Source organism: Homo sapiens, chromosome 7 (genome assembly GCF_000001405.40).
Source record: "Homo sapiens chromosome 7, GRCh38.p14 Primary Assembly".
Taxonomy (NCBI): domain Eukaryota; kingdom Metazoa; phylum Chordata; class Mammalia; order Primates; family Hominidae; genus Homo; species Homo sapiens.
Genome location: NC_000007.14, coordinates 134189934 through 134216714, shown reverse-complemented (window position 1 = coordinate 134216714; position 26781 = coordinate 134189934). Strand labels below are relative to the sequence as shown.

Here is a 26781-nt window from a genome sequence, read left to right as displayed (position 1 = left end):
AAGAAAAGAAAATATCTACTATCTGGACAAGTGACTTGACAGCATTTCCTATCTAACCAATCTGAAACCCAGAATATAAATGATCTTGATTTTATCAATAATGAAATCATAGTAAAAATAACAGATAGCATTTATTGAGCATGTACTATGTGCCAGATGTTACTACAGGTCTTTTATGTGTGTATCACATGGAAATTCATAATAATCTCAGAATTGATGTTTCCCTACTCACTTCTCCAAACTGCAATGCCTCCTATGAATGCCCATAGAAGAACCTCTTGATTTTTGTAATATTTTGCTCAACTGCAATTTCTTTCCAATATTATTCTAATTTTAAGTTACCTAATTAAATCAAGGTTATCAAATTTTTAAAAAAGGATTTTCACAAAGACCATCTCATTTACCAAATATTTCCACCCAGTTTGAACAGTATCATCCTCTTTCAATGAACAGGAAAATGCAAACATTTTTTTGCTGCTTTCATGTTAATACGAACAAACACTACTCATAGAAGCATTTACTGTGTGCTAGATATTGTTCTGGGTGGTTTTCAGTATATTAACTCATTTAATCCCCATAAAAATACTGAGGTAGGTACTATTATTACCTCCATTTTATACATTAGAACTCTGTAACTTGCCCAAGGTCACATGGCTAGATTGTAATGCAAATGGAATTTTCAAGAATTATTTTGAATTTTAGTGTTGTTTGCAATAATGAATTTCTAAGGTTACAATCTGTAATAAAAAGTCTTCAGCTTTTGCAAATCATGACTGCACTCTCATAATCAGTTTTAAGATTAGAGGTTTGATCTTCTAACACCATTTATCTGTCATCAACACAAAGAAATGGTTAGGCCCTTCTTATCCTCTTCTCTGAATGCCTGGTCAATACAGAAAAGTGATTTCTAGAATTATGTCTTTCAAATTGGACTACGCAATTAAATTCATTTACAGACGTACTGTGCTACATAGTATATAAATAGTGCAATTATCTGAAGTGGAACTTGGTGGATCTTTTTATGGTAATAAGATGATTTTCGGGCTTGTCATGGAGCAAAAGGCAAGGAAGTAAGCTGATCAAGATTGTTCTCAAGTGCCTTTTTTTTTTAAAAGCTTTATATAAAACGTATACATATAGATTTTGGATGTATCTTATCCTGAGCCCCCACATTGACAAAGAACATAACTGCCAATACACCAGATCCTTGTCCCAGAGAAGAATTCAGCATAAATGATGTCAACCCATCCAACCTCACTTGAAGGCAACCAGAGCTGGGGGGAAGTCTGGTAACAGGCCTCCAAGTAAGGACAGCATCAAAGCAAACCTCTAGGGCACTCAGTGCAGGGTTTTCCAAACTGCAGGTTGCAAACAAAATTGTGAAATCAATTTAGGAGGCCACAACCAGAATTTTAAAAATTGAAATTCAGCGCCATAGAAAATATCAGAGTTGTCTATCACCATAGTAAAGGTGTTTTATGACACTTTTTTTTTTTTGCCAGGTGTTTTATGTGTTTACTGGGTCATGATATTGTAACATGTATACTTCTAATTATGGATCTTGGTCAATAAAACTTTGAAAGCCACATATCTAAGGAGTACTAAGTACATATAATTTTCTAAGCACTACATTTAATAAAACAGGATTCCTCATAACAAGCAAATGGAGTCAGCTGCAGTAAGTGGATCTTAGATCATAAAATGAACCTTACATTTTAGCCAGTCCAACTAAATCACCCAACATATGAAGACCTTCTATAAGATTCCCATAACACAGCATCTAACTTCTGGAGCAAGCCAGTCTGTTCCTCTGCAAATCACCTCTAACTCTTAGAAAGTTCATGATGTCAAATCAAAATAGAATGTAAGGCTGTTGCTTTCTCATGACAGCTCTTCAAAGTGTGTGTGTGTGTGTGTGTGTGTGTGTGTGTGTGTGTGTTTAAATTTAATTCTATATAACTTTTTCTGAATAAACATAGGTCATTGTAGAAAATTTAAAAAATACTAAAAAGCATAGATGGGAAAATAAAAATTATGCATAATCCATAATCCAGAGCTAATAACTAGAGCCATACTGGCTCTACCTCCTTAACCTGCTTTCTACTTACTACGCAATAAATAGTTTCCTCTAATTAAATATTCTTCTATGACATGATTATAATGACAACATAATATTCCAGCATATAGCTATACCATAACTTATTTCTAAAATCCCATTAGATAGCTAGATTATTTCTAGATTTTATCATAAAAAACACTGATATGAACATCCTTGCCCATAAGTGAGTTCCTTATGATAATCCTCAGATTCGAATTACTAGACTGAAGATATACAAAATGTTAAGGCTTTGACAGAAAATTGTAAAACTGTGCCCCAGAAAAATTGTGCCGATTTACTTTCTCTCCTGAGACATAGAAAGTGCATTTACCCACAGCCTCGCCAACAATAGGCATTAAGTTGTTTTTCATCTGCCAATTCAGTACAAAAAAAAAAAGTCTATCCTGTTTCAACTTATAATGAGGTTAAATACTTTTTGACATATCTATTGGCCATTTTTATTTCCTCTTCTGTGAATTTCCCAATCATGCCCTTTGTTCAATTATCTTTTGAAGTTTTGGAAATAACTGATTTAGCTCTTTAAATATTTGAGGAAGGCTTTCATGCCAAGTGGCAATATTATCTCCATTGATTTGAATATTAGGTGCCACTTTTCTTTAAAGGAGCTAAAGATGGTATTACTAATGTAGTCACTATAAGCCACAATGTTTTTTTGTTCCTATAAAGATCACCTTGCTGAGCAACATATCAAATGGGAATGATAGGAACCTTGTAAATATAGATGGAAAATGGCAATTTTTAAACATTGTTATTCTATGTGTAAAAATCAGAGGTTTCCCTTATACCAAGAGAATCAATAATAGCACTAAAAATCTCCTGTTGATACTCTTTTCCACTCCTTTCCTCTGACCACAAACAAAATATTGTCCAGTTCCACTGAATCTGAGACATTAGGAACATATACTACCAAAGCAATAACAGAAACACAAACAAGTGATAAAAAAAATTTGGCTTATCGCTTCCCTTTTGTACCCTAATGGAAATGCAACCCCAAATGCCTTCAGGAGCCTCAGAAACAGGCGCCCGAAGAGGAAAATTATACATTTCTAAAAGCAATTTTAAATTTCGAAAATTCTTCACCTAAATGAGACACGGACAACTCTAAAGTGCCCCACACCCACCTCACAGAAAATGGGTAATGATCTTAATTTTCTTCCTGTCTTGCACAATCTACCCTCTCCCACATGCAATCTAAATATTTACCTAATTTGACAATTCCTGCCCCCACAGCCTTATTTCAGGCCTAACCTTCTTTCCTGGACTACAGCAATAACTTCCCTGCCACTCCTCCTGCTTCCTGTATTGCTCTCCTCAAATTCATCCTCTATATCCCCTCCAGACAGATGCCTCTTAGATACAAATTCAGCAGCTCCCCATTGTTAAAGATCAAGTTTCCAAGCTCTTCGGTGTAGCACAAAAAGCACTTTGGATCTATATAGACCTGCATCTCTCCTGGCATTCGGGTCCTTAGAAGATGCTATGCCTGCGCGTGCCTCTGCTTAGGCGTACGTGGTTCCTTCTTCTAAGAAAACTTCCCCTCTCCATCAGTCTGCTGACTATTCTGCAACCGCGATGACTAAGCTGAAGGCTGACCTTCTCTTAGGAGTGTTTCCTGATCCAATGTTTGTATCCCAGGCCGAATTCAGTGTCCTTCCTTGGTATTCTTATGACATCTGGAAAAGTTAACAAATGGATTTTCCTGTCTGTAGGATGTAAAATGTAGCCTAACACGCTGTGGGGCCTTCAGCTGCCCTAATCACATGGTGTTATTAATATAATGAACTCTCTGTCTTCCTTGATAAAAGACAAAGCTTCTTGAAGTATCCTCATCACTTCCCCTTATCTAGCAACCATCACTGTCTGGCACATAGCGTGTGCTCAATAAATGCTTGTTGGATGAATGAACTTTTAGTAAAAATAAATACACTTTTAGTAAAAATAAACAAATGATATATTTTCTACAATTACTGTATTATTTTCATCATGGACAAATCAGATAAATCAGAGGGCAATTACTGGCATTATATAAGCTCTTCATTTTGCAAGAGGATTTCTATATCCTGGATTTCTAAAATATCAGTTTCCTCTACTGCCCTTGAAATAACATTTGAAATTCATAGTTTCATAGACACCTCTCTTTTGTGTAAGAGACATTTACACAGGCATTTAGTCATCAGTTACATTTTTAAATATGAGATACCAAATACAGTTTAGCATGCTGCTGTGTACACAGTAAGTGCTCAATAGATATCTTGCAGCTTTTTAAGAGTCACATCTTGAGTTGTCCGTTTCAGTCACAATTATCCTCTTTTTGGGTGGAGTATAGTGTCCATACATAGGAGTAGGTTCAATAGGTATGTCTGAAGGTAACCCTGGTCCTTGCCAGAGTAGATTGGTTTAAGAACAAGTGCCTAAACCAAGCTAGGCCAACAAGACTTTCTTTGGATTAGGATTAATGAACATTCATTCAAATTAATCCCTTTACAGTAGTGGGAGCTTCCAGAGGTAAAATCAGATATGGGCTTGAGAGCTGCTGGTAACCATGTTTCCCACCATGTGCAGAAACTGATAGAGTCATCTGTAGTCCAAAGAATGAAGCCAACATGGAGAAAGAAACAGAGAAGAGAAGTGGTGAGAGTCCTAGACCAGAGTCCAGGAGATGACTAGAGTCCTGGTTATGTTCCACAACTGGCCCCCAGTCTCTCTGAGACTTGCTGTAGCCCTGCCCTTCCCATAGTTTGTTCATATGAAATCTTCTACTCCCTTCTAATAGAGTCACAGAAGCTGGCTTAGAGTGGACTCCTATCATTTGCCAGCGAAAGAATCCTGATGGTATGAATAGATAAACGAACAACTGATTCACTTAAATGTTCTCCCCATTAATTCTTTTAATTGATTCAACCAGATGGTTTGGCATAATAAAGGCATGAGCTAATTTACATGAGATTTCTATTCAGAGAAAGAAGGAAGGTATTCATTTTGAAATACATTTCAAGCAAAAGTAAGTTTCAGGCAACATATTGCCAAGACAAATCTGAAGCATTTGATCACAGAGTCATGCATGCAAAATATGTCTTCTTCCCTACAGAAGATTCCCACAAGTTAACTGTAGGTTTGGAACCTCCAGGAACAGCAAAGTCTTCCTGTCTCAAAAGTTCTTTTTGCTTTGGAACTCCTCGATAATGCAAGAGGGGTGAGAGAATTTTCTAGAAGTCTAGAAGCGAATTTTCCTTATGAAGAGAAGAAAACTTAATGGCAATATGGCCCTGCTTCAGCCAGAGTTGGAACTCAGGTTGGATTCGTGTCTGGACACAAAGGCTACTTGCTGACACCAGCCTTCCAGAATGGCTCAATTTGGTGGCAGCAGCTGATAGAGCTGCATCCCTCTGCAACAACTGCTCTTCCAGGCTGTGACGGCAACAGCAGAAGAGGCACAGGAGTGCAGATTGGCTGCCTTCTAGGAATCCAAGGTTTGGACAGTGCTGAACAGCCCCTCCACCTACGCTGACCATGGGTTCAGGAGGAAGCCAGTGTGGAGACTCACAGGACCCAGCCATAGCTGGTCGTTCTGTGACAGTGCTGCCTCGGGGTTCCCAGACCTTAATGAGCTGGTGGCTCCAGGGATGGCTTAAACCTTGGTGCTCTGACTGCTCCTGGGGCGCAGTCTTCCCTTCCAGCTGCCCTGCTCCACAGTAGACACCTGGTTCTGGGGAGTGGCGGGGCTTTTGTCCTGTGGCACTGCCCCATGTTTTCAGGTTCGCTTCTCTTTGGTTTGCTGCTTGGAAGCAAGTGCATTGTGCCTTTGGACAGAGCTCTCTCTGGCCTGACCTCTCCCCTGATGGGCTGGTGTGTCTTTGACAGGCTGCTGGGTTGGGGGCTCACTGTCCTGCTCTGGGGATTGCGAAGCAATCTCTCTCCTCTGAGACCTGCCCTTTCGATGAACCTGTCCCTTTCTCCCTGGATGCTCCACAGGAGCCGAGCTATCCTGTAGCGACTCCGCAGGGGCCTTTTCCCTCTGGAGAGGTCTCCCGGGTGAGGGCTGGCCCTCCTGAGCTGGCTGATCACCATTGACGGGAGTTTTATTTTCTTGAGATAACCCTCCAAAAATCTCTCTCTTACAAGATGGCCCTTGTTTGGACACATCTACATTCCAAGCCAGGTCATTTGTGGGGAGGTTGGTATGGGTCCTTTTCCTGGAATTATGTTTTTTTTAATCTTCTTGTAATTGGGGGTCTTAGGTGATGGCTCGGCGTGGGGCGGCTCAGGAATTTCTGGTGTATGGACTTTGCTTCTCTGGTTGCTCAGATGGCCTAATTTGTAACAGTTACACACTGAAATACTAGCTTAGACAAGAAACAAGAGGAGGGCTGGGGTTGGGATCGTCGGGCACCATGGTGGGAGCTGGCTGATCGTGGGGTTCTAGCTGCAAGGCTGGCTGGTGGTTCCCAGGTGGTGCCTCTTCCAGAGGTGCCAGTCCTCTAGCCGTCCCTTTCTGGTTGGGGAGCTTTTTTTCCCTAGCCCCTGTCTGCTGAAGTGGCCCCTGGTTGTGGGGTGAGGCCCGCATGTCTGGAATCTTCCTCCTGGAGGAGCTGCCTGCTTGGGGAGCTTTCCTTTCCTTTGCAGGCCTTGGATCAGGCTGAGTCCCCGAGTTCTGGGGCAGCCCTGGCTCCGGAAGAGGAGCAGGAATGCGAGGGAGCCTCACTTTCTGAGCCGCCTCCTCCTGGGCGGGACTGAGGATGCGAGGTTCTGCTTGCTCCTGGCTGGGGGGACTGATAAGAGGGAGTTTCACCTCACTGACCTTCTCTTCCTGGACTTGCTGAAGACTGTGGGCTGCCTGGGGGCTCAGATTTGGTGGTGGTTTTGAGTGCGGAGGGCTGATGGGAGGAAGTTTACTGGTGTCTGCTTCCCGGGTTGGTGGAAGCCTGGGAGAGACCGTCATGGTTTGATGGGAGGTTGTTCCTAAAGCCTCTTCCCTGCTGGGCGATAGGAGTTTGGGTGTGGGCCTCCTGCTCTGGAGGGGAGCCAGCACCTGAGGCTGGGGCAGCCGAGTGGGAGCCAGCCGGCTTCTAGGAAGCAAGGTCCCCGGGGCTCCCCTGGCCTGGGGCTGCTTGGTATCTGTTGCTAAGTCTTGGGGATGTGGCAGTTCTGGGTGAGGGATACTGACTCGGATGGCTTCCGGTTTGGAGGTTTCCTCCTTCAGAGCTTGCTGAGAATCGCCAGCAAGTTTCTGCACCAAGTCAGTGTGGGAAGAATCTTTTGGAGGATCATGGTGGGAACTGCTGGGTGGAAGTTTGTCTGACTCAATTTCCTCATCCTGAATTCTCTGAGGGCTGAGGGGAGTGGGGCCAGGTCCCTGTAGAGGTTCAGACAGAGGAGGGCCAGTAGGGGTTACCTGGGCCTCCCCTGACTCCTTGTCCTGGCCTGGCTGAGGGCTGCGGGACGAGGGAGGGGAAGGGTGCACAGGAGGCACCAGGGTCGGGGTGATGGGAGACTGCCCAACCTCACTGGCTTCCACCTCAGGGACATCTGTCTCAGTGGCTATTTGTTTTAGGGGAAGATCTGATTGTTGGACATCCTCTTCCGTTGGGTTTAGGGATAGGTCCTGGGCCTGCTGAGGAAGACCCAGTGCTGATGAACTGAGGTGTTGAGGGAGCTCAGGATTGAGATGGCTGTCAGGAGAAAGCTCTTTTTGATGGGTTTCTCCATCCTGAGCCAGCTCTTGGTTCTGGGCAGGAGTTACGCTCTGATTTTCTAGGTCCTTGGCATGAATTTGCATTCCAGAGAGATGCTCTGTCATCTGGCCATCTGCTTGCAGTTTCGCCAAGCACCTGGGAGATGGAACCAGGTGTGCTGGCACCCCAGAGACAGTCTTCTTGCTAGCGGGAGCTCCTGCTTTAATATAAAAAGAAATTAACTATAAACAGAAGTTAACTAACTGCTTAGAAATTAATAAGAAAAACATCTTTCCCCTGTTAGATGCACATAGGCCCTTGAAAGGAATAAAATTACACATATAGGAGAACTTAACCTTCCCTTCTCCTTGGAGATACTAAGTGTCTATAATTCTCTCATTTAGTGGAACTTAGAACAATTTTAGTCAACTGAAAACATAAACTTCAATGAATAAACATAAGAGGTTTATGTCTGGTTCTTATTCATAGAACCAAAATTTACATCCAGATTTGTGGGTGGTGAGACATTTTCCAAGTGAATGAGACTTTAAATTTTTACCAACTTAGAGATCAATGCTGTTTTTGATGGTAGAAACTAGAGGATGGACATCCAAGCCAGATGAAATCCCATTTGTTTGTTTCCTTATTTAACGGCAGCCCTCTTATATAAGCCGTGAGCTCTGTGAAGAGTTATGTCTGTTCACCAATACCTGGCAAAGGGGCAGGAACTGAGGAAATGGGTGATGAATGTAAGAAGGAAGGAAAGAATCGGCCGGACAGAATCACAAGGCACCATGGCTCAGAACAGCTGCTCCTGAGGACCCCCATCCAGGCTGCTATTCCCGCACTCACATCCCCAGGCCTCCTCTTGGGCTTCCACATCTACCTTGCCTTCAAAAATGGCTCTCAGAGGCCACTAGCAATGCTGGTGTTACACAGAGGTGTCAACTTGGTGTTGATGGCAAGTTCTCAGAGTGACTGATCTCTGGGACAGTCTCACAGACGCCATCATCCAGCAGGCACTTGTTCAGTGAGCGCTTGTTCACTAGACGGATTCTGGGGGCCCAAATACCATCTTACCCCAGTCCTAAGGGCATAGCTCTGAAATGTGGAGCAGTCAGAGGTGGCACACCAGACTGGAACAGCCTTGAAGAAGCTAGTCTCAGCTCACTTTGGGGGAGATCTGATACTCAGCGACTCCAACCCAAATCAGACCTCTGAGGTGACCTTGGAGTGATCCATTCCCCAGAGGCAAACCAGGCTCCCAGCCCCCGATCCCCTCCACTGACGCAGGATGAGCTTGCACTGCTGGGTTCTCACTGAGCCCCTGGTCTGGACACGCACCCTTTGCATCCCATCAAACCGGTGTTCTCTAGGGAGAGGGCGGGACAGGTGGGAACAAAGAAAGGCTTCCCTCTTGGTGCAGTTTCTGAGGGGGTGTCCTGTTCATCATTTGGAACTCCCTAGTTTATAACTGTTATAAACTGAAATACTAGCTTAGACAAGAAACAAGGTTAAATTGAAAAATAAAACTGTGAAAATATCGAGAGTAGGCAAACTCATAGAGAAAAGAAAGTAGATTCGAGGTTACCAGGAGTTGAGGGGAGTAATAGATTAATGGGTATAGAGTTTCTGTTTGGGGTAATGACAAATTTTGGAAATAGGTAGTGATGATGGTTATACAACATTGTAAATGTAATTAGTACCATTGAATTGTATACTTACAATGGTTAAAACGGCAAATTTTATGTTAAGGTATGCTTTTTAACCAAAATATAAAATTAATTTTAAAAGATGGAAAAATATAAGAACAATGAAATCCTGTGCTAAAGCTTCTTTTGCTCCTTAATCTCTCTTGGTTTTCTGTAATCAGATATATAAGGATGTGTTCCCCACTTTTACAATTTAACAATTGACATAACTTGGCAAATCATACCAGGCCTTTTATTAAAGATAAAGGAAAACTTTACGGACTAGTCAACTGCTCAGTTCTCCTCTGTCTGACTTATCATAACCATCATCATTTCTTTCTACCATTAGTCAGATTAATGATTTGCAAATACAATTTTATTTTATGATCTATATAGCAAGAACTCAGGGTGATAGTTGGTACAGCTTTCTAAAAGCTTTGCTGGAAGCATTGACTATCCCAGAAGTAGGTTGTTTAGAGACAAATGGAAGGAAAGACATCCCTTAATACTGAGTTGTGAATATAGTTTTTACCTTATTTTGTAGAAACTATTTTGTTTACTTGTGCTTTTTAAGCCTTCGGGTATTAGAAATAAATGTTATCCACATTACAATAGGGAAAATAAGACAATTCTATATATATATACACACACACACATACACACATATATATATACACATACATATATTATATATATATATGTATTTATTTATTTATTTTGAGATGGAGTCTCACTCTGTCACCAGGCTGGAGTGCAGTGCTACAATATTAGCTCATTGCAACTTCTGACTCCCTGGTTCAAGCGATTCTCCTGCCTCAGCCTCCCGAGTAGCCGGGATTACAGGCACGCACCACCACGCCCAGCTAATTTTTGTATTTTTAGTAGAGACGGGATTTCTCCATGTTGGCCAGGATGGTCTCGACCTCCTGACCTCGTGATCTGCCCTCCTCGGGCTTCCAAAGTGCTGGGATTACAGGCGTAAGCCACCGCACCTGGCTGATATGTATTTTAAATTAAGGGGATATCTGAAGATTTCAGGGTTTATAATCACTGTGTACCTAAAGTTAGTATTTTATACATGCATTAAGTGAAAATTCAATTAATCCACCCATTAGTGAAAGTTTATATTTCTGGGTCCAGGCTGAAAGATGCTGTACTCAGAACTGATAAACCTTGCGCTTCCTTTTATCACTCTGTTCCACTCTCATTGTTAAGAGTAGAAATTCAGCTTGTACTCTTAGTTATAAATTAGCAACATAAAATTACAAAAGATCAAGTTATGTATTACTACTTCAGATATCTGGGAATACTTTTCTGTTTGCATTGATACAGGATTACCACTTTAAGAAAAACAATGCTGTTGGTCATAAGATTTCTGTTTGTACTGATGCCTAATCCAATTGGGAAAAACCTCAGCTCTAGACAGCCGGATTCTAATAGTGCACCATGACATTATGTATAGGTTTTTATTTTAAGAAATGGGAGCTCAAAATTACTTCTCGAATCAAGTTAATGGTTATTGGTTAGATTTAGAATAGAAAACCAAGGCTTCATATTTCCAGTCCAGTTTCCTAATTGCGCAGACAAAGCTGTCTTTCACAGAATCATAAATATTTTTTATTTCAATTTCTTCCTTTTGACAGCTCAATTATTTTTTAAAAAATTCATTATACTAAAACTATTGTTTTTTATTTCTAGAGGTCCCATTTATGTGAGTAATGTGTTTATACACATATATCTAAATTATAGAACTTAAAATCAGAGTGACCCAGCTCAGAGCAGGAGCAATGAGGTGAAGCACCAGCTGGGCACATGATGGTGACTCTGCTGGGACTCTGGGTCCCTTCCTGGGGAGTGCTGATGAGAGGTGAGGCCAGCTGGACTTCCTGGGTCGAGTGGGGACTTGGGGAACTTTCCTGTCTTACAAGAGGATTGTAAAACGCACCAATCAGGAACTTTCCTGTCTTACAAGAGGTTTGTAAAATGCACCAATCAGCGCTCTGTAAAACGCACCAATCAGCAGGATTCTAAAAGTAGCCAATCTCAGGGAGGATTGAAAAAAGGGCACTCTGATAGGACACAAATGGAACATGTCCATTCCCTGGACAAATAAGGGAATAAACGCTGGCCACCCCCGCCAGCAGCGGCAACCCACTCAGGTCCCCTTCCATGCTGTGGACACTTTGTCCTTTCGCTGTTAACACTAAACCTTGCTACCACTTACTCTTTGGGTCCTTGCCATCTTTAAGGGCTGTAACACTCACCACGAAGGTCCACGGCTCCATTCTTGAAGTCAGCAAGACCACGAACCCACTGGCAGGAACCAACTCTGGACACACTGACACTTGTTTTAAGGTAACTATGGTTGGCTCCACTCTTGTGCACTGAACCTGTAAACATCTGGTCCCCATTCCTTGGCACCTTCTTCACAGCCCTGAGACTCAGGAAGAACACTGGCTCTACTTCTTGTCCCACTAGAGACACCATTAAATGTGTGTTAATAAGGACCATGTTCCTTAGAACTTTTTAGATACTCACTTGAATAATGTCTGGCCTCTACAATGTGCAAGTTTATTCTTAAACCCACAAGTAGAAAAAGTAACTTCCTCAGCAAATTAATTGTCTAGATAAGATAAAGTGGTTGGCTTCAGAAAACACATTGTTTTTCAAAATACTAAACATGCCAAAAAAACAAAGGGGCCTTGAGGCTAGTGATTTGATCCATTAATTACAAATCTGCCTACCTACCTTTTACAGTTGGAATTCTATTAGTCAGTAACTAGATGGCTCAGTTTCAGTTATAAAATGTAACTGAAAGCTAAAACATTTTTACAAATTCAGTAATTCATGCTTTTCATTAAATCAGCCAAGCCTAACCTCATTAGTCCAAATAAATAAAATTTTATTATACCCGTTAGAATCAAAGTCTATTTTTCTATGCACACATTATCTGGTCTATTAATTTACCAAATGGCAACTGCACCCAATAGCCAGTGTTCTTGATAGTTGTAGAATAAGAAAAGATACAGAGACGGACTCTCACTGGCTGTTGAGGCAAAGTCTTGTTCAAGCCCCCCCAGTCAGTGGCAACCTCAGATTGAGAAACACACTGTTCTCAGTTACTCAGAGCTGGTCAGGCTCAGGGGACTGATTCATGTTTATCCAAACCCACAAGAGGCTGATTTAAAAGCCAGTACACCAATTAATTAATTTACAATGGAGACAAGCCTGGCTCAGGGATCAGGGCAGGGTGGGTAACGTAGGGTACAGCCCCGACAGGAGCAGGTCCACCCGATGGGACCAAATTAAAGATCAGAAGGTTGCTTGGGTAGCAAAGAATTAAGGCAAGGGGAGCCAGATTTTCTCAAGAGAAACTTCTACTGAGCTACAGAAGCCTCATTAGATACACTCACAGCCCTTCTCCATAGAGATGGCTTTCTAAAGAACCGACGCCCAGTGCAGAGATTCTGAGCAGGGCTGGATACATACACTGACATGCTCCCAATCTAATGTTCCCCAATCCCCACTTTGTAGACTGAGCACAGTCCTCCAGTCCTCCATTCCTATTTTAAGACAGGTCAAACTTTCTCCAGGAACATTCCAGTCAGCAGGTCATACCCTGGTCACTTCATCTCCTATAAGACATATGGAGAAGGAAATTCTCAGCCATTATCTGTTGATTTTTACCAGTTTCACGTTGACCTCATTCCAAAATACCAGGGGCCCTCAACCTGGGAAAAGTGTGCAAAATTACAAAACAGCATTGGTTTGAAGTCTGGCAAAATCATGACCTGCCCTGCCTCAGTCTGCCAGGATGCAACCTGGTAAACAAAATCCTATTTGGGCAAAAAGTCACAACCGCTAAAACACAAAGCTGAACATACTTGCAAAGCAGCCAGGGTCTCAGGTTAACATTTCACAATATGCAGTGTGTGAATGGGGTTCAGTCCATCAAGGGAAAGTTTTAAAACTTACTATGGTGGCAAAATACACATAACACAACATTGACTATCTTAACCATTTTTTTTTTTGAGATGGAGTTTTGCTCTGACACTAGGCTAGAGTGCAGTGGTGCAATCTTGGCTTGCTGCAACCTCCTACTCTCTGATTCAAGCAATTCTCCTGCCTCAGCCTCCTGAGTAGTTGGGATTACAGGCACATGCCACCACGCCTGGCTAATTTTTGTATTTTTAGTAGAGACAGGGTTTCACCATGTTGGCCAGGATGATCTCTATCTCCTGACCTCGTGATCTGCCCACCTCGGCCTCCCAAAGTGCTGGGATTAGAGGCATGAGCCACCACGCCCGGCCATCTTAACCATTTTTAAGTACACAGTTCAGTGGCATGAAGTATATTCACACTGTGCCACCGTCACTATCATCTATCCTCAGAACTCTTTTCATCTTCTCAAACTGACACTGTACCCATTAAACCACTCCCATTCCCTAGCCTCTGGCAACTACCGTTCTACTTTCTGGCTCTATGAATTGACTACTCTAGATACCTCATGTAGTGGAATCATACAATAGCTGTCCTTTTGTGACTGGCTCATTTCATTTGGCACAATGTCTTCAAGGTTCATCTATGTGTAGCATGTGCCAGAATTTCCTTCCTTTTTTAAGGTCAAATAAAATTCTATTTTATGGGTTCCTTCCACCTTTTGGCTATTGTGAATAGTGCTGCTAAAAACATGGGTGTGCAGCTCTCTTTTTGAGATCCTGCCTTCAATTCTTTTGGAGGTAGATCAGAAGTGGGATTGCTGGATGATAGGACAGTTCTATTGCTAATTTTTTGAGGAACCTCCATACTGTTTCCCACAGGAGCAATACCATTTTACACTCCTGCCAATAGCACACAAGGGTTCCAATTTCTCCACATCCTTGCCAACACCTGTTAATTTCTGTTTTTTTTTTTAATTTTGTTTTTATAGTAGCCATCCTAATAGTTGTGAGGTGGATTAAAGGGAGACTTTTAAATACATCTCAAAATTCATGTACCAAAATTCTAACTTAGGGCTTTAGAGTTCCTGGATTCCAAGGGAATGCACTCTTACATATACTACATCATGTGCTGCTCACCATCCATGTGGTGATGAGGAGCATTAGATAAGGAGCATTAGGTCCATGTAGCAGAACAGTAAACTGAAGCTCCGAACAGCGAAGGAGCTCACCCAAGAGAGCACAGGGCTAGGATCAGGAACATTGATCCTATGACTAGGGCTCTTGCCACTGTATTCCGCAGCACAGTATTTTGAGGACTCGGGTAACGCAAAGAAAAGGGGAAAGAAAACTCTCAGACTAAATACAAACTCGACAAGTAGAACAACATCTCAGCTCTCTAAGGAATGAAACCTCTGGAAGGCTGAGTTCTGAACCATGAGGTTAACCCTTATCTATTACCTCCGCCAAGGCACTGCCTAGCCTGTTCCTGAAGGGCAGTACCTGGAGGTCCATCATGACCATGGAGATAAGCAGAGTTACAGGTCCAGAAAGCTGACTCATGCTGCTTGTTTTGGGGACAATTGCCCCAGAAGAAGTACAGGAATAAAAGAGAACCAGCTTTAGCCCAAGTGATGAGTACCCAAATAGCAACTCAGATTTGTTTTCCTTTCCATGAAAAAAAAAAAAATCCTGGCACAAAAATGATAGAATAGTACCTGCAGTTGTAGCCAAACTCTTGGCAGGTTCCTCAGTCAATCCAAGGTATTCTCTAATGAGCTGACTCAGTTTTTGGTAGGCAACATCCAGATCATCTGCAGCAAAGAGAGTACATTTTAAAGCAACAGGATCACATCCAATACAGTTGATGTTCAACTATCGGTGGTAATGATTTGTTTACTGCATTTAATTTTATATATATTATGGTAGGCAGAATTCTAAGATGACCCTAAGGACACATCACCTTTGTATAATCAATCTCCTCCCCTTAAGTGTGGGCAGAACCTGTGAAGGCAATGAGATACCACCTCCACGATTGTGTGACATTCAGCAAAAGGGATTTTTGCGGATGTGGTTAAGGTTATTAACGGGTTGACTTTGGGTTAATCAAAAGGGAGATTATCCAGGCAGGCCCACCCTAATCACATGAGCCACATAAAAGGAGAGTTTTCTCCAGCTGTTGGCAGAAAAAGAAGTCAGAGACTCAGATCACAAGGAGGATTCGATGTGCTGGTGCTGGCTTGAAGATGGTGGGGCCACGTGGATGACACCTGAGAGCAACCTCCAGAAACTGAGGATAATTCTTGGCAGACAGCCCACAGGGAAACTGGGACCTCAGTTCTACAACCAAAAGAAACTCCATCCTGCCAACAAGAATGAGCTTTGGGGACTTATCCCCAGAGCCTTCAGATGAGCCCTCAGCTTCCTGATACCCTGAGCAGAAAATCCACCTATGCTGTACCAGACTTCTAATCTACGAAACTGTGAATTAATAAATGGGTGTTGCTTTAAGACACTAAGTGTGATAATTTCTATGCAGGAATAGAAAACAAATTCAACTGTGTAATACTTTAACATGTTTCAGAGACCAAAAACTATTATTAATAATTTGAACCATATGACATTGCTGTTTTCATAGGTCAAAATAGTTGAATATCAACAATTTCATATGGTTCAACTAATGTCCCCTGTCCATCTAGTTCATCTAGTTTCCCTTCCCCCTAAGAGGTAATCAGTGTTATTAGTTTTTTTGAGGATTCTGCCAGAGAACTTTTTTATGTAGCACAAGAAAATACAATTGCACAATTTTTTTACATAAATTATGGCATACTATATTGTAAACCTGTCTTTTTCAGTAACTGTATGTCTTGAAGATATTTCCCTATCTAGACACAGAGAATTTTCTCATTCCTTTTTATGACTGTGTAACATAGTGCACTTTAAAAATATATAGAAATTTGCCAGGTGCGGTGGCTCACGCCTGTAATCCCAGCACTTTGGGAGGCTGAGGAGGGTGGATTGCTTGAGGTCAAGAGTTTGAGACCAGCCTGGACAACATGGTTAAACCCTGTCTCTACTAAAAATGCAAAAATTAGCTGGGCGTGGTGGCGGGCACCTGTAATCCCAGCTATACAGGAAGTTGAGGCAGATCTATTGCTTGAACCTGGGAGGCGGAGGAAGAGGTTGTAGTGAACCAAGATCACGCCACTGCACTCCAGCCTGGGTGACAGAGCGAGACTCTCTATCTCAAAAAAAAAAATTATACATATATATATATATATATATATATATATATATATATATATATATATAAAAGTTTCTAGAATATATCTATAGAAATTTTATATGTGTAAAAATATGTACATATATATATAGAAATTTTCATATTTTGATAAATTCTCCCATGAACTATTGCTTTAAATTAAATGGTCATTTCTAAGCTAGTTTCTGAAAATGTTTATTTTACACATACATTTTTAAGTTATAATATTTTGAGTAGTTGGGTTTTTAACCTACGTGTAGATTATAATCAAATTACCTGAGTTTCATATGCCTTTCTAGAAATTTAAATGTGTATTTCAAATTATATATAATTTAACTTTGTTCTCACAATGTCCCCTAAAAAATGAACTTAGTTCAGGCTCATTTTACACCAAATCTTATTAGCTACAATCTTAAGAAATAATTGAGACAATGCTCTCATTAAAACAGTGGAAGATTAGACCTCTTGGATTCTTACCCCTTTTCGCAGCTCTTTGTGATTCACCGTTACAAGAAAAATAGCTTTTACCCAAGAATTTTATCCCCATGAAACAAACTTTTAATTCAGTAATCTTACATTTCAAAAACAAAACTTTGCTGAAAATTACCAACCTGCATTGATTACCTCATCAAAATATCCCGGAAAATTCTGATTAATTTTAATATAAAGGTCCACTCTGGAGACAGCAAATTCAATTTCTGCACGACTGAATAATCCTTTTCTCCGCAAATATCCCTCATATTTTTCCTTGTTCATGGGCACCACCAGGATATAACGAGGCTCAAAATAGGAATATTTCAAACTTCTTACACCCTGTGCATTAAAAGGAAGATAATAAATTGGAAACAGATACATGATTTAGAAATCATTTTGGAGCCATCTGACAACATGGGTATAAGAAGTAGTATTATTAATATATTGAAGAATTTATTTCATCTGTATAGTTAGCTACTATTTTTCTATAAATATCTCAAGATTGGATTACATTTCTCTCTTCATCAAGTTTTAAATTGTCATTGGAAATATTACAATTCACTCCACCTGGCTTTCCTTTAATTAATCATTCTAATGAATATGACTGTTAGAAAATTGCTGGATATAAAATAGGTACATTCATAGCAATATTGCAACTTTATTACAGAAAGGTAATTTCAATTCTATATTTCAAAAGGGTTCTGTGGAGCACCAGGAGATAGAGATCTTACCAGGGAGAAAAGGCTCTTCTGTGACCCCTTTGTCATCATCTTGGGACCCTTTCTGCACCTAAATCAGCACCCTGGTTGGGAAGGCCAAGCTCCTCGTCACCTGCAGACCAGGAGATCACAGCATGGAACTGTGTAAGGAACTGACTGGTCTGTGAGTCTGGAGGGCTTGGTCACAACTGCAGCTCTCTGGCTCCTGTAGACGCCGCACAAATCCTTCAAGTTCTCTGGCTATCAGTTTCCTCACGGGTGAAATGAAAGAGCCATTCCAAATGGACTCTAAAGTCCCGTCCATCTCAATCAGTTTCACTCAATGTTCAAAGTCTTTGTTTTAAAAATTCAGTTGGAAGAAATACAGGCTATTTCCAAAACAATTTCTGAAACAGTCAATGACCAGGGCAGTCTGGAAAAATACTTCAGCTGGGGAGAATCAGGGGAATCAAGCATGGATTATAGACTCAACCTCCTGGAAATGAGGAAGAGTGAACTCCCAGGGAGAAAAACAGTGAAAGATAGACACAAAAGATGGAGAGTTTCTGGACTCAAAAATGCATTAATTTTTGTTTCTGCCTTGTCAAATGAAGAAATTTTTTAGAAAAGACCTTTTATTTTTGCTAGTTATTATAGAAACAAAGAAAACATTCCTTAAAGATACAAAACCAATTAATCACTGAGAAGTAAGATTGGAAATATTCTACGTCAGGAAAGTTAAAGAGCTGGAAGAAATGTGTAAGCTAAGAAACACTTATACCAACACAAAGAGCCAAAAGGGAATTGCAGTCTCCTACTGTGTGAAGTCACAAAGGAAAAAAGAAAGATTCAGAGTTGACATCGAAGGATTATGTACCTGATTTGCCTAGGTTTTGTTTTCTGTATATTTGATCTAATTGAATTAGTTTTATAATTGCTTTTTTTTTAATTCCAAAAGTGTCATACTGCTCAGTTAAAGGATCTTGAAAAAACAATCAACTATTTTTGAAGGTTCCAAGTATGTAATAAAGCTATATTTTTAAAAAATAAATGAGTGGGAAATTCATAGTTTTACTCTGGATCTTAATTTTGGAGAAGCTTCTATATACTCTAATTATAGATCATTGTTGGGGGAAGACAGGGTATCAGGGTAGAGAGAAAAATCTCCTGACATCTACAGGTCTAAATTGCCAGAAGTATGAAAATATTACACCCAGTGAGCAACTGCAGTTAAATGGCAGCACAGCCCACACATCTCATGCAGAAGGAAGGAACAAAGTTGACCACATGGGGCTGCCATTGTCCTGAGGGGATGGGGAACCAGTTCCACACTCTAAGAATCAGGCTTTATCTACAACCTTTTATGTAAACAGAGGCCATGCTCTAAAAAGAAAAAGGAGCATTTAGTGAGGAAATAACAGAAAATAAAGCTCGAGTGGCAGTTTCACTCACAATATCTGTGCAATTTCTTGTATTGTAACCGAACTCCTGTCACTTAATGTTTCATGTGTCTTGCCCCCCATAGTAATTATAAACGGAATATCTTATCTTGTGCCTGGCAATGTGTTGCCTGTGCATTGTATACCCCTCCCCAACCTCAAATATGTATATACATTAACGCATGTACCCCATATATGTACCTCAATTATGTATCAGTAAAAAGTTTATACATATATACACACACACACACACATACACACACACCACACTCACACAAACTACACACACATTAATTGGTTGAATGAAAACACTTACTTCTATTTCCATATGAATACAGCTTGCCAAACCATCTCTTGCGATACCTTCTACGGTGTCCCTATTTAATCCATACTTGTGATTACCATAACTAAATGTTAGAATGAATTTCCCCTGGAATTCGAGAAGAACAAAGATTTTCATATAACAGCAGCCATCATGGAATTTACATAACTCAAATCATTTGATGTCTTATTCTAAATAATTTCAAAAACCTTACAAATTTTAGCAACTATATAAGGATGACAATGGGGTAAATGAAACTTAATTTCAAACTGTGACAGAGAAATTTATTCAGAATTCTCAGCTGACAAAAAAAAAATAGGTTTTTAGAAATAATTTGCTGACAAAATGTTGAGGAGTGTTAAGGCACTGCAGCATATGGTAAAATAGACTATTTTGTTTACTTACCCACTTCCTGCCAAACCCGCACCAAAACCTTCATTACTGAGAGAACAAAACTAATGGCCTGCCCTTTACTGCCGCCATTTCAGCTGTGCCAGCACACCAGGCAACCCAGAAAAGCCTTCCATTTCCAAAAGCCTTGCATTACCAAGATAAGCCATGAATTACAGATAATTCTGGGAGGCCATGAATTACAGGGACATCCTAAAAGCTTTGAAAAAGCAGACCCATCCTGTTTTTCCTCATAAAGATAGCTTTCTACTGAAACTGCCCCAAATGTCATCCAACAGAATTGGTGTCTGCCCTATAGCCATTTGAACTATAAATGATGCCTCTGTCTGTATTCTGGAAGCTCAGTTCTTCCAAAAACGGTATTCCCTTGGGAAAAAAAAAAGGAGGGGTGGGGCAAGTAAAAAGATGTCTCTTAAAATTGTCTGTGATTTTTTCTTTGGCAATACTATATTCATTAAACCACTAGGTCAAATCTAAACTGGGTAACTGATGACAACAGAAGGAATAAAAACGTGGATGATCTTGGCAAGAGTGACTTCTCATATATGTGATTTTGAAATAAACAATGAAGTGAAAACTTCCAGGGCTGCATTGAATCCCATCAAATGGCGGTGGCAGCATTAAGAACAGCAGCAGTTGGGTCTATTGCTACCCTGTGTCTTGGCCCCAGATGTTCTGGAGATGTGAGGGTACGGGGATGGGCTGTCTGTCAGGGAAGACAGGTCAGAGACCAGAAGGCGTAGGGTGTCTTTTGAGGTTGGGGGATGGGTCTCTGGGCAATGTGTCTGCTGCAGGTGATGAGGAAGATCCACATCCCCCATAATCAAAAGAAGTTTATGTTATATATTCCAAAAGTTAAAAACTCAACAATAAATATCCTTACTATTTTACTCCTTCAATGTCATACTTTCTTTGTTATTTGGAACAAATACTGTGACTCCTTTTCTATATATATATATATGTCTGGCTCTCCTTTCAGATAGACACTTTATCTTGTTTATTGCATCTGCTGGTTAGTATTATGTGTCAACTTGGAAGATGTTTGGGGTGAGATGAACATTTAAACTGGTGAACTTCAAGGAAGCAGACTGCCACCCATAATATAGGTGGACTTTATCCAATCAGTTGAAGGCCTCAATAGAACAAAAAGATCAGCCTTTGGATTTCATCTGCACCACTGAAACCTCCATTGCAAAATTATGACTGAGACAATGAAAGAGATCTAACCTAACTGACTCCATCTTGCTTCTAACCTCCAAACTGTTCTTGTTCATTCTTGGGCACAGGCTGAACTAACTTTGGGAGGAACTTAGTTTACACTTTAAAACAAAGATGATAACAGCCCTTTCCCAAAACAAACTCCCTTCTTGCATGGGGACTAGACTGCCTTTGTAGGACTAAAAAATTAGCCACAAGATTAGAAATTATGGTTTAGGAGTCATGCAGCTGGAGGCTACAAGATTCTGACCCTCCCTAAACTGCTCCTAAGATCAGTGCTTGAGATATTTTGTAGACCCTGCACTTGATGGATCAGCTGGCACCACCCAGATCGATAAACTGGCTCATCTGATCTTGTGGCCCCTACCCAGGAACTGATTCAGTACAGGAAGACAGCTTGACTCTCTGTGATTTCATCTCTGACCAATCAGCACTCCCGGCTCACTGGCTTCCCCCCACCCACTAAGTTGTCCTTAAAAACTGTGATCCCCAAATGCTCAGGGTGATTGATTTGAGTAATGATAAAATGTGGTCTCCTGCACAGCTGGCCCTGTGTGAATTATTCTTTCTCTATTGCAATTCTCATCTTGAAAAATCGGCTCTGTCTAGGCAGCGGGCAAGGTGAACCCATTAGGATTTCCTGGCTGCCCGGCTCACACTGCAGATTTGGATTTGCCAGTCCCTATAACCCATGTGTGCCAATTTCTTACACTAAATCTCTTTCTTTTAAGAGATGGAGTCTTGCTGTGTTACACAGGCTGGAGTGCAGTGGGGCAATCATAACTCACTGCAGCCTTGACCTCCTGGGCTCAAGCAATCCTTCTGCCTCAGCCTCCTGAGTTGCTGGGACTACAGGCATGAACCCCTACACCAGGCTAATTCTTTATTTTTTGAAGAGATAGGGTCTCATTTTGTTGCCCAGGCTGGTCTCAAACTCCTAGGTTCAAGCAATCCTCCCACCTCAGCCTCCCAAAGTGCTGGGATTACAGGTGTGAGCCCAACCCTAAATCTCTTGCTATACATATACACATCCTATTGATTCTGTTTCTCTGGAGAACCCTGACTAACACTCTGTGACTCGCTGTTTTCAAAATGTATACTTGAATTCCTTTTCAGATATATACTGTAAGTTTTTTTTATTGTTTATGTACAAGGACCTTCTACTGTGGATAATTAAAAAAAACATTTTCTAGAAAGATGTAGAGATGTAGAGTTGGGAGGAATCTTGCATAGTACATAGGTATAAAAGAGACCCCATTACAAGTTTGTTAAGAATTGGGATTAAGTGGTTTCCCTCCACCCCATTCTGGCTGGTGATGCTACTTTGGTTTCTTGCTGCATATGGATTTCCTAATAAATAGCAATAGTCATACTCCAGAAACCTCAGGGTCTGTGGTTTTATTTCTACAGGAGAGGGAGAGTTTCTGTGGGGACTGTGTATGTGTCCATTAAAAGGGTTCTCATATCTGTGGGCATGTTAGGGGGATGATTGTGTGTTGTGGGGGAAGTGTCTGATGGGATAGAGGAGGCCCCTGTGTGGGGGAAGGTGTACAGGTCTATGTGTTGTACGTGTCAGAGCAGAAAGGTGTGACTGTCCACAGTAAGGGTGTGCCAAGGCTGTCCGTCAGTGGGCCTGCTGTAATGGAGGATGGCGGGCAGGCTGTCTGGGTGGCTGCTGTGTAGAGGGGGGTTCTGTGAACAGAAGGCTGAGTGTCTGTGGGTGATTGGCAAAGCTGACAATGTGTCATAAGTTTGTCATCTCTAAGTTTGTCTCTCTTCATCAAACAGTCTCAAGCTTACATTAAAGGAAAAGAGATCAGAGGCACAATTCAAGTTCAAGAAAATTACATTATCCTGAAATGTATATATATGTTATCAGAAGCAGTAAAAATAAGTACTTCTCAAACACAGGAGGATTTCTGTAGAGGTAGTAAAATTCTAAGACTAAATATAGTATAGAAGTGTAGTGACTTTTTAGACTAGGAATTGAACCAGACTAGATTACAGATCTGATAAGGTATGAAACACCAGAGAGCAGATGGGGTACTGAGAACAGATGAACTGACGTGAGAAAAAAATTGCCTCATACTCTAACAAGATAAATTAACATTAATTTTGGGAATTAGTTGTCTTTCAACTTAAAAAGTCCTAAGAGAATGCTTCTTACTAATATCAAGATAACTTCTCAAATCTCTATTGAGGCTTTTAGAAACATAAAGTCCCAGAGTACTCTTAATCAATTAAACTGAACTGCCAAAATATAGCCCTAGGAGAGAAAATTATAAAGAATTTCCAAGATGTTCTTTTGACAAAGTTAGAGGAAAAATTGCCTAGGGATCATAGGATTTTCTCACTTGTATATCTCCACAAACACAAGAGAAGTCCAGAAAACAGGCACCATGTATAGAGTTGGCCATTCAAAATTAAACTCATAGAAACTGCAAAGCCTATGCTGAAATGTTCCATGATTTTGTACAATGAAGAATAAGCCAGGTCCATTATTTGGGGGGTGGGAACAGAGGAAGGAAGAAGGAAAAAGAAGGGGAAAGAGGAAAGAGGATATGTAGCTATAAGGGAATCACCAGTTGGATGGTAATCTTTCAAAAGCAGAAACACAGATGAGTCCCTCATCTGATAGTTCAGTGGACTTCAGAAAAGAAAAGAAAGTGGTGTAGGATTTACTTGGTGATAGAAACAATGAAGATATAAACAAAAATAAGGGCCATGGAGAAGTAAAAACAAAAGGTTTACAGATTCATTGGTCGTGATGAAAATATGAGCTACTCCTTCAGTTTAACTGAAGTCATGGGCAGATACATATTTACATTAGCATACACTTTCAACAGATAAAACATGCGAGGATTATGAGGGTTCCCTTTGTATGTGAAGGCCAAGAAGGAACATATAAGTTGTTTTGAAGAAAATGAATTCAAAGACAAGAGTGTTTTGAGTTACTATCAATAACCAGATTGTCAGGGTTTCAGTAAAAAACAAACAAATGCAAAAACCCAAAACTTAAACAAGATTGTTCTGAGTGCCTGTGAAATAGACTAATGCATGGTAATTACCTTGACCTTGTAAAAACATAGTCCTCAAAGAAGTTAGGGATCATCTCCCATCTTCTAGCAAGGGCTGCCATCTGCATTAGTGAACTGCTTGGCCTCCAGGACTGAGAACTTCTCAAACAGGAACATGACCATGGTAACATGTCCAGAACAAGCCAAGTAAATGGGACACGCCATACTGAAATGGTGCTTAGGGTTGTAACAATTAGAAAGCACCACAGATAATACACAGAAAGACTACTTTCTGGACAGAATACCCAAATCCCCAGACATACTTAATTTACAAGATTTCTGTGCCATCGGTTATGTAAGAACTGTTTTTCTTGAGTAAATCTGACTAATAACAGTAGCAGCAACTGATAAGCACAGATCACAAGAATTTTTCATACTGCTTTAGTTCTATTTCCTTAAAATGCCTACTCATTCATTTTTATTGGAAATTTACAATATTTTCTCCAAGACCATAAAATAAAAAAGCATGTGAAGAATGACGTATTAAGCACTTTAAGAAAAAAAAAAAACCCCATAAAAACTCACCTCTCATAACAAGCACAAAATTTAATTCTTCCTTTTTTTATTTATAACTATTTCCTAACATTTTTGCCAGAGAACGTGTATTTCTTGTGCAATAAAAACAAAGGCAAACATTCTTACCATGTTCACCATTTCATCAAAAACGTCTTGAGAGATAAAATGATAATCAACTCGATCCCCTTCTCCAAAGTAAGGTGGTCTTGTGGTATGACAGGCCCTGAAATCATAAAACAGATCACCTAGTCCATTTCTAACTTGAAATTCAAAATGGAAAAGGTTTCAATATAAATTATGTTTTAAAAAATGAAGTTAATCCACAAATCATAAATCATAAAGTAATACAGTTGTAAGAATATGTTGGTTTCGAAGTGCTAAATTATATTCAGTTGCTATCATCTATAAAGATTATACAAAATTTGGATTATCCATACCAAATTTTTACTCATTATTACTTATCACCTTCTGAACCACTTCCTCTGCCATCATGTAATAATACTTTAAGAAGTAAATCAATACTTATCACTCAACTATTTTCCACCCACCTGCTTTCGTGTTTAATCTATGAGCCTTTTCCACAGGCTGTCCTTCTCTCCTTCCACCTGGCTGGCCTACTTGTTTCTCAGAACTCAGTTTAAATGTCACCCCTCCAAAAATCCTTCCCTGACCTCTATGGCTGGATTATTCATCTCTTTATATTTCCACAGCCTTAGTGTCTTTGCCAATTGCATTCCAATTGTATGTTCAGGGCCCATCCCCTCCACCACCTGAGGGCAAATCTATCTCATGTGCCCTGTGCTTGGTCCATATCAACACTGTGTATAAACCTCCTGTGGCAATCCATGGTGCCAATGCTGAATGGAAGTCTCAGCTCAGCCAAAGAGGCCTTTTCTCTCCACTGTCTGAAATAGCCTCCCCATCCCACCACACCGCTCAACTACTGTCTATCCCCAGAACTGCTTACCGCTCAACTACTGTCTATCCCCAGAACTGCTTTCTTTTATATATTTATCTGTTTTTTTCCTATCTTTCCCAGCAGAACATATGAATCCTAAAGGGGAGGACCATGTCTTATTCGCCACTGCATTCCCAATGCTTGGCACATAGTAGGCATTTGATAAATTTTTGTAAAATGAATGAAAAATGAAACAGGAGAAGTGGATAACAGCTGCTAAGAACTCCATTTTATAGATGACTACAAAAATAACTCCTCTAAGGTCACACAGCAGGCCAGTGTTGGTCCTACAAGAATATGGTGGTCCCAACCACCAGGACTCTTGAGTTCATATAATTCTGCCTTCCACTGTTAAGTGCAGAAATGCAAACTGATTTTTAGATTTTACTGTAGTTTTAAAATAGGAGATGAGAGCCAGGCACAGTAGCTTATTCCTGCAATCCCTGTACTTTGGGAGGCCAAGGCAGGAGGATTGCTTGAGCCCAGGAGTTCAGGACCAGCCTGGGCAACATAGTGAGATTCTGTCTCTACAAAAAAATTTAAAAATTAGCCAGGTGTGGTGGCATGTGCCTGTGGTCTCAGCTGCTCAGGAGGTTGAGGTGTGAGGCTCACTTGAGCCCAGGAGTTTGAGGCTGCAGCAAGCCATAATTGCCCCATTGCATTCCAGCCGAGGCAACAGAGCAACACCCTGTTTCAATAAATAAATAATAAAATAAAATAAGAGATGAGACTAGCTAGACACTTGACATGTTATTTCATTTATTTCTTACAAAAACCATAAGCTAGGTATTATTTCTTATTTTTATTTTACAAATAATGAAACTGGAGGCACAGCGATTAAGTAATGTTACTAAGTAGCAACGCCAGGATGACTCAAAAGTCAATTCTTGTTAATATCATACTAATTCAGAGAGTAAAGTTCCAACCTCGAAAGGCTCTTCGTTGCAAAGTCAAAGACAAATAAATGTTTATAATTCATACCACTG

At 40.5% G+C, this 26781-nt stretch overlaps 1 protein-coding gene across 12 annotated transcripts in view; it reads right to left on the bottom strand.

The window, feature by feature from the left end:
• Positions 1–26781, bottom strand: part of LRGUK (leucine rich repeats and guanylate kinase domain containing) — a 149346-nt gene that overhangs the window by 59971 nt on the left and 62594 nt on the right. For 5 of the 12 annotated variants that reach the window (XM_024446659.2, NM_144648.3, XM_047419890.1 and 2 more), the window contains 4 exons: positions 24964–25060; positions 19610–19723; positions 17294–17495; positions 15139–15234 (listed from right to left, as the gene is read on the bottom strand). In XM_024446659.2, coding sequence (XP_024302427.1) covers positions 15139–15234; positions 17294–17495; positions 19610–19723; positions 24964–25060 — 509 coding nt within the window. Of the gene's footprint in view, positions 1–4052; positions 8012–12363; positions 13118–15138; positions 15235–17293; positions 17496–19609; positions 19724–24963; positions 25061–26781 lie in introns of those variants that run through there. The other 7 variants (NM_001365700.3, XM_024446658.2, NM_001365701.3 and 4 more) reach the window with 5 other exon arrangements.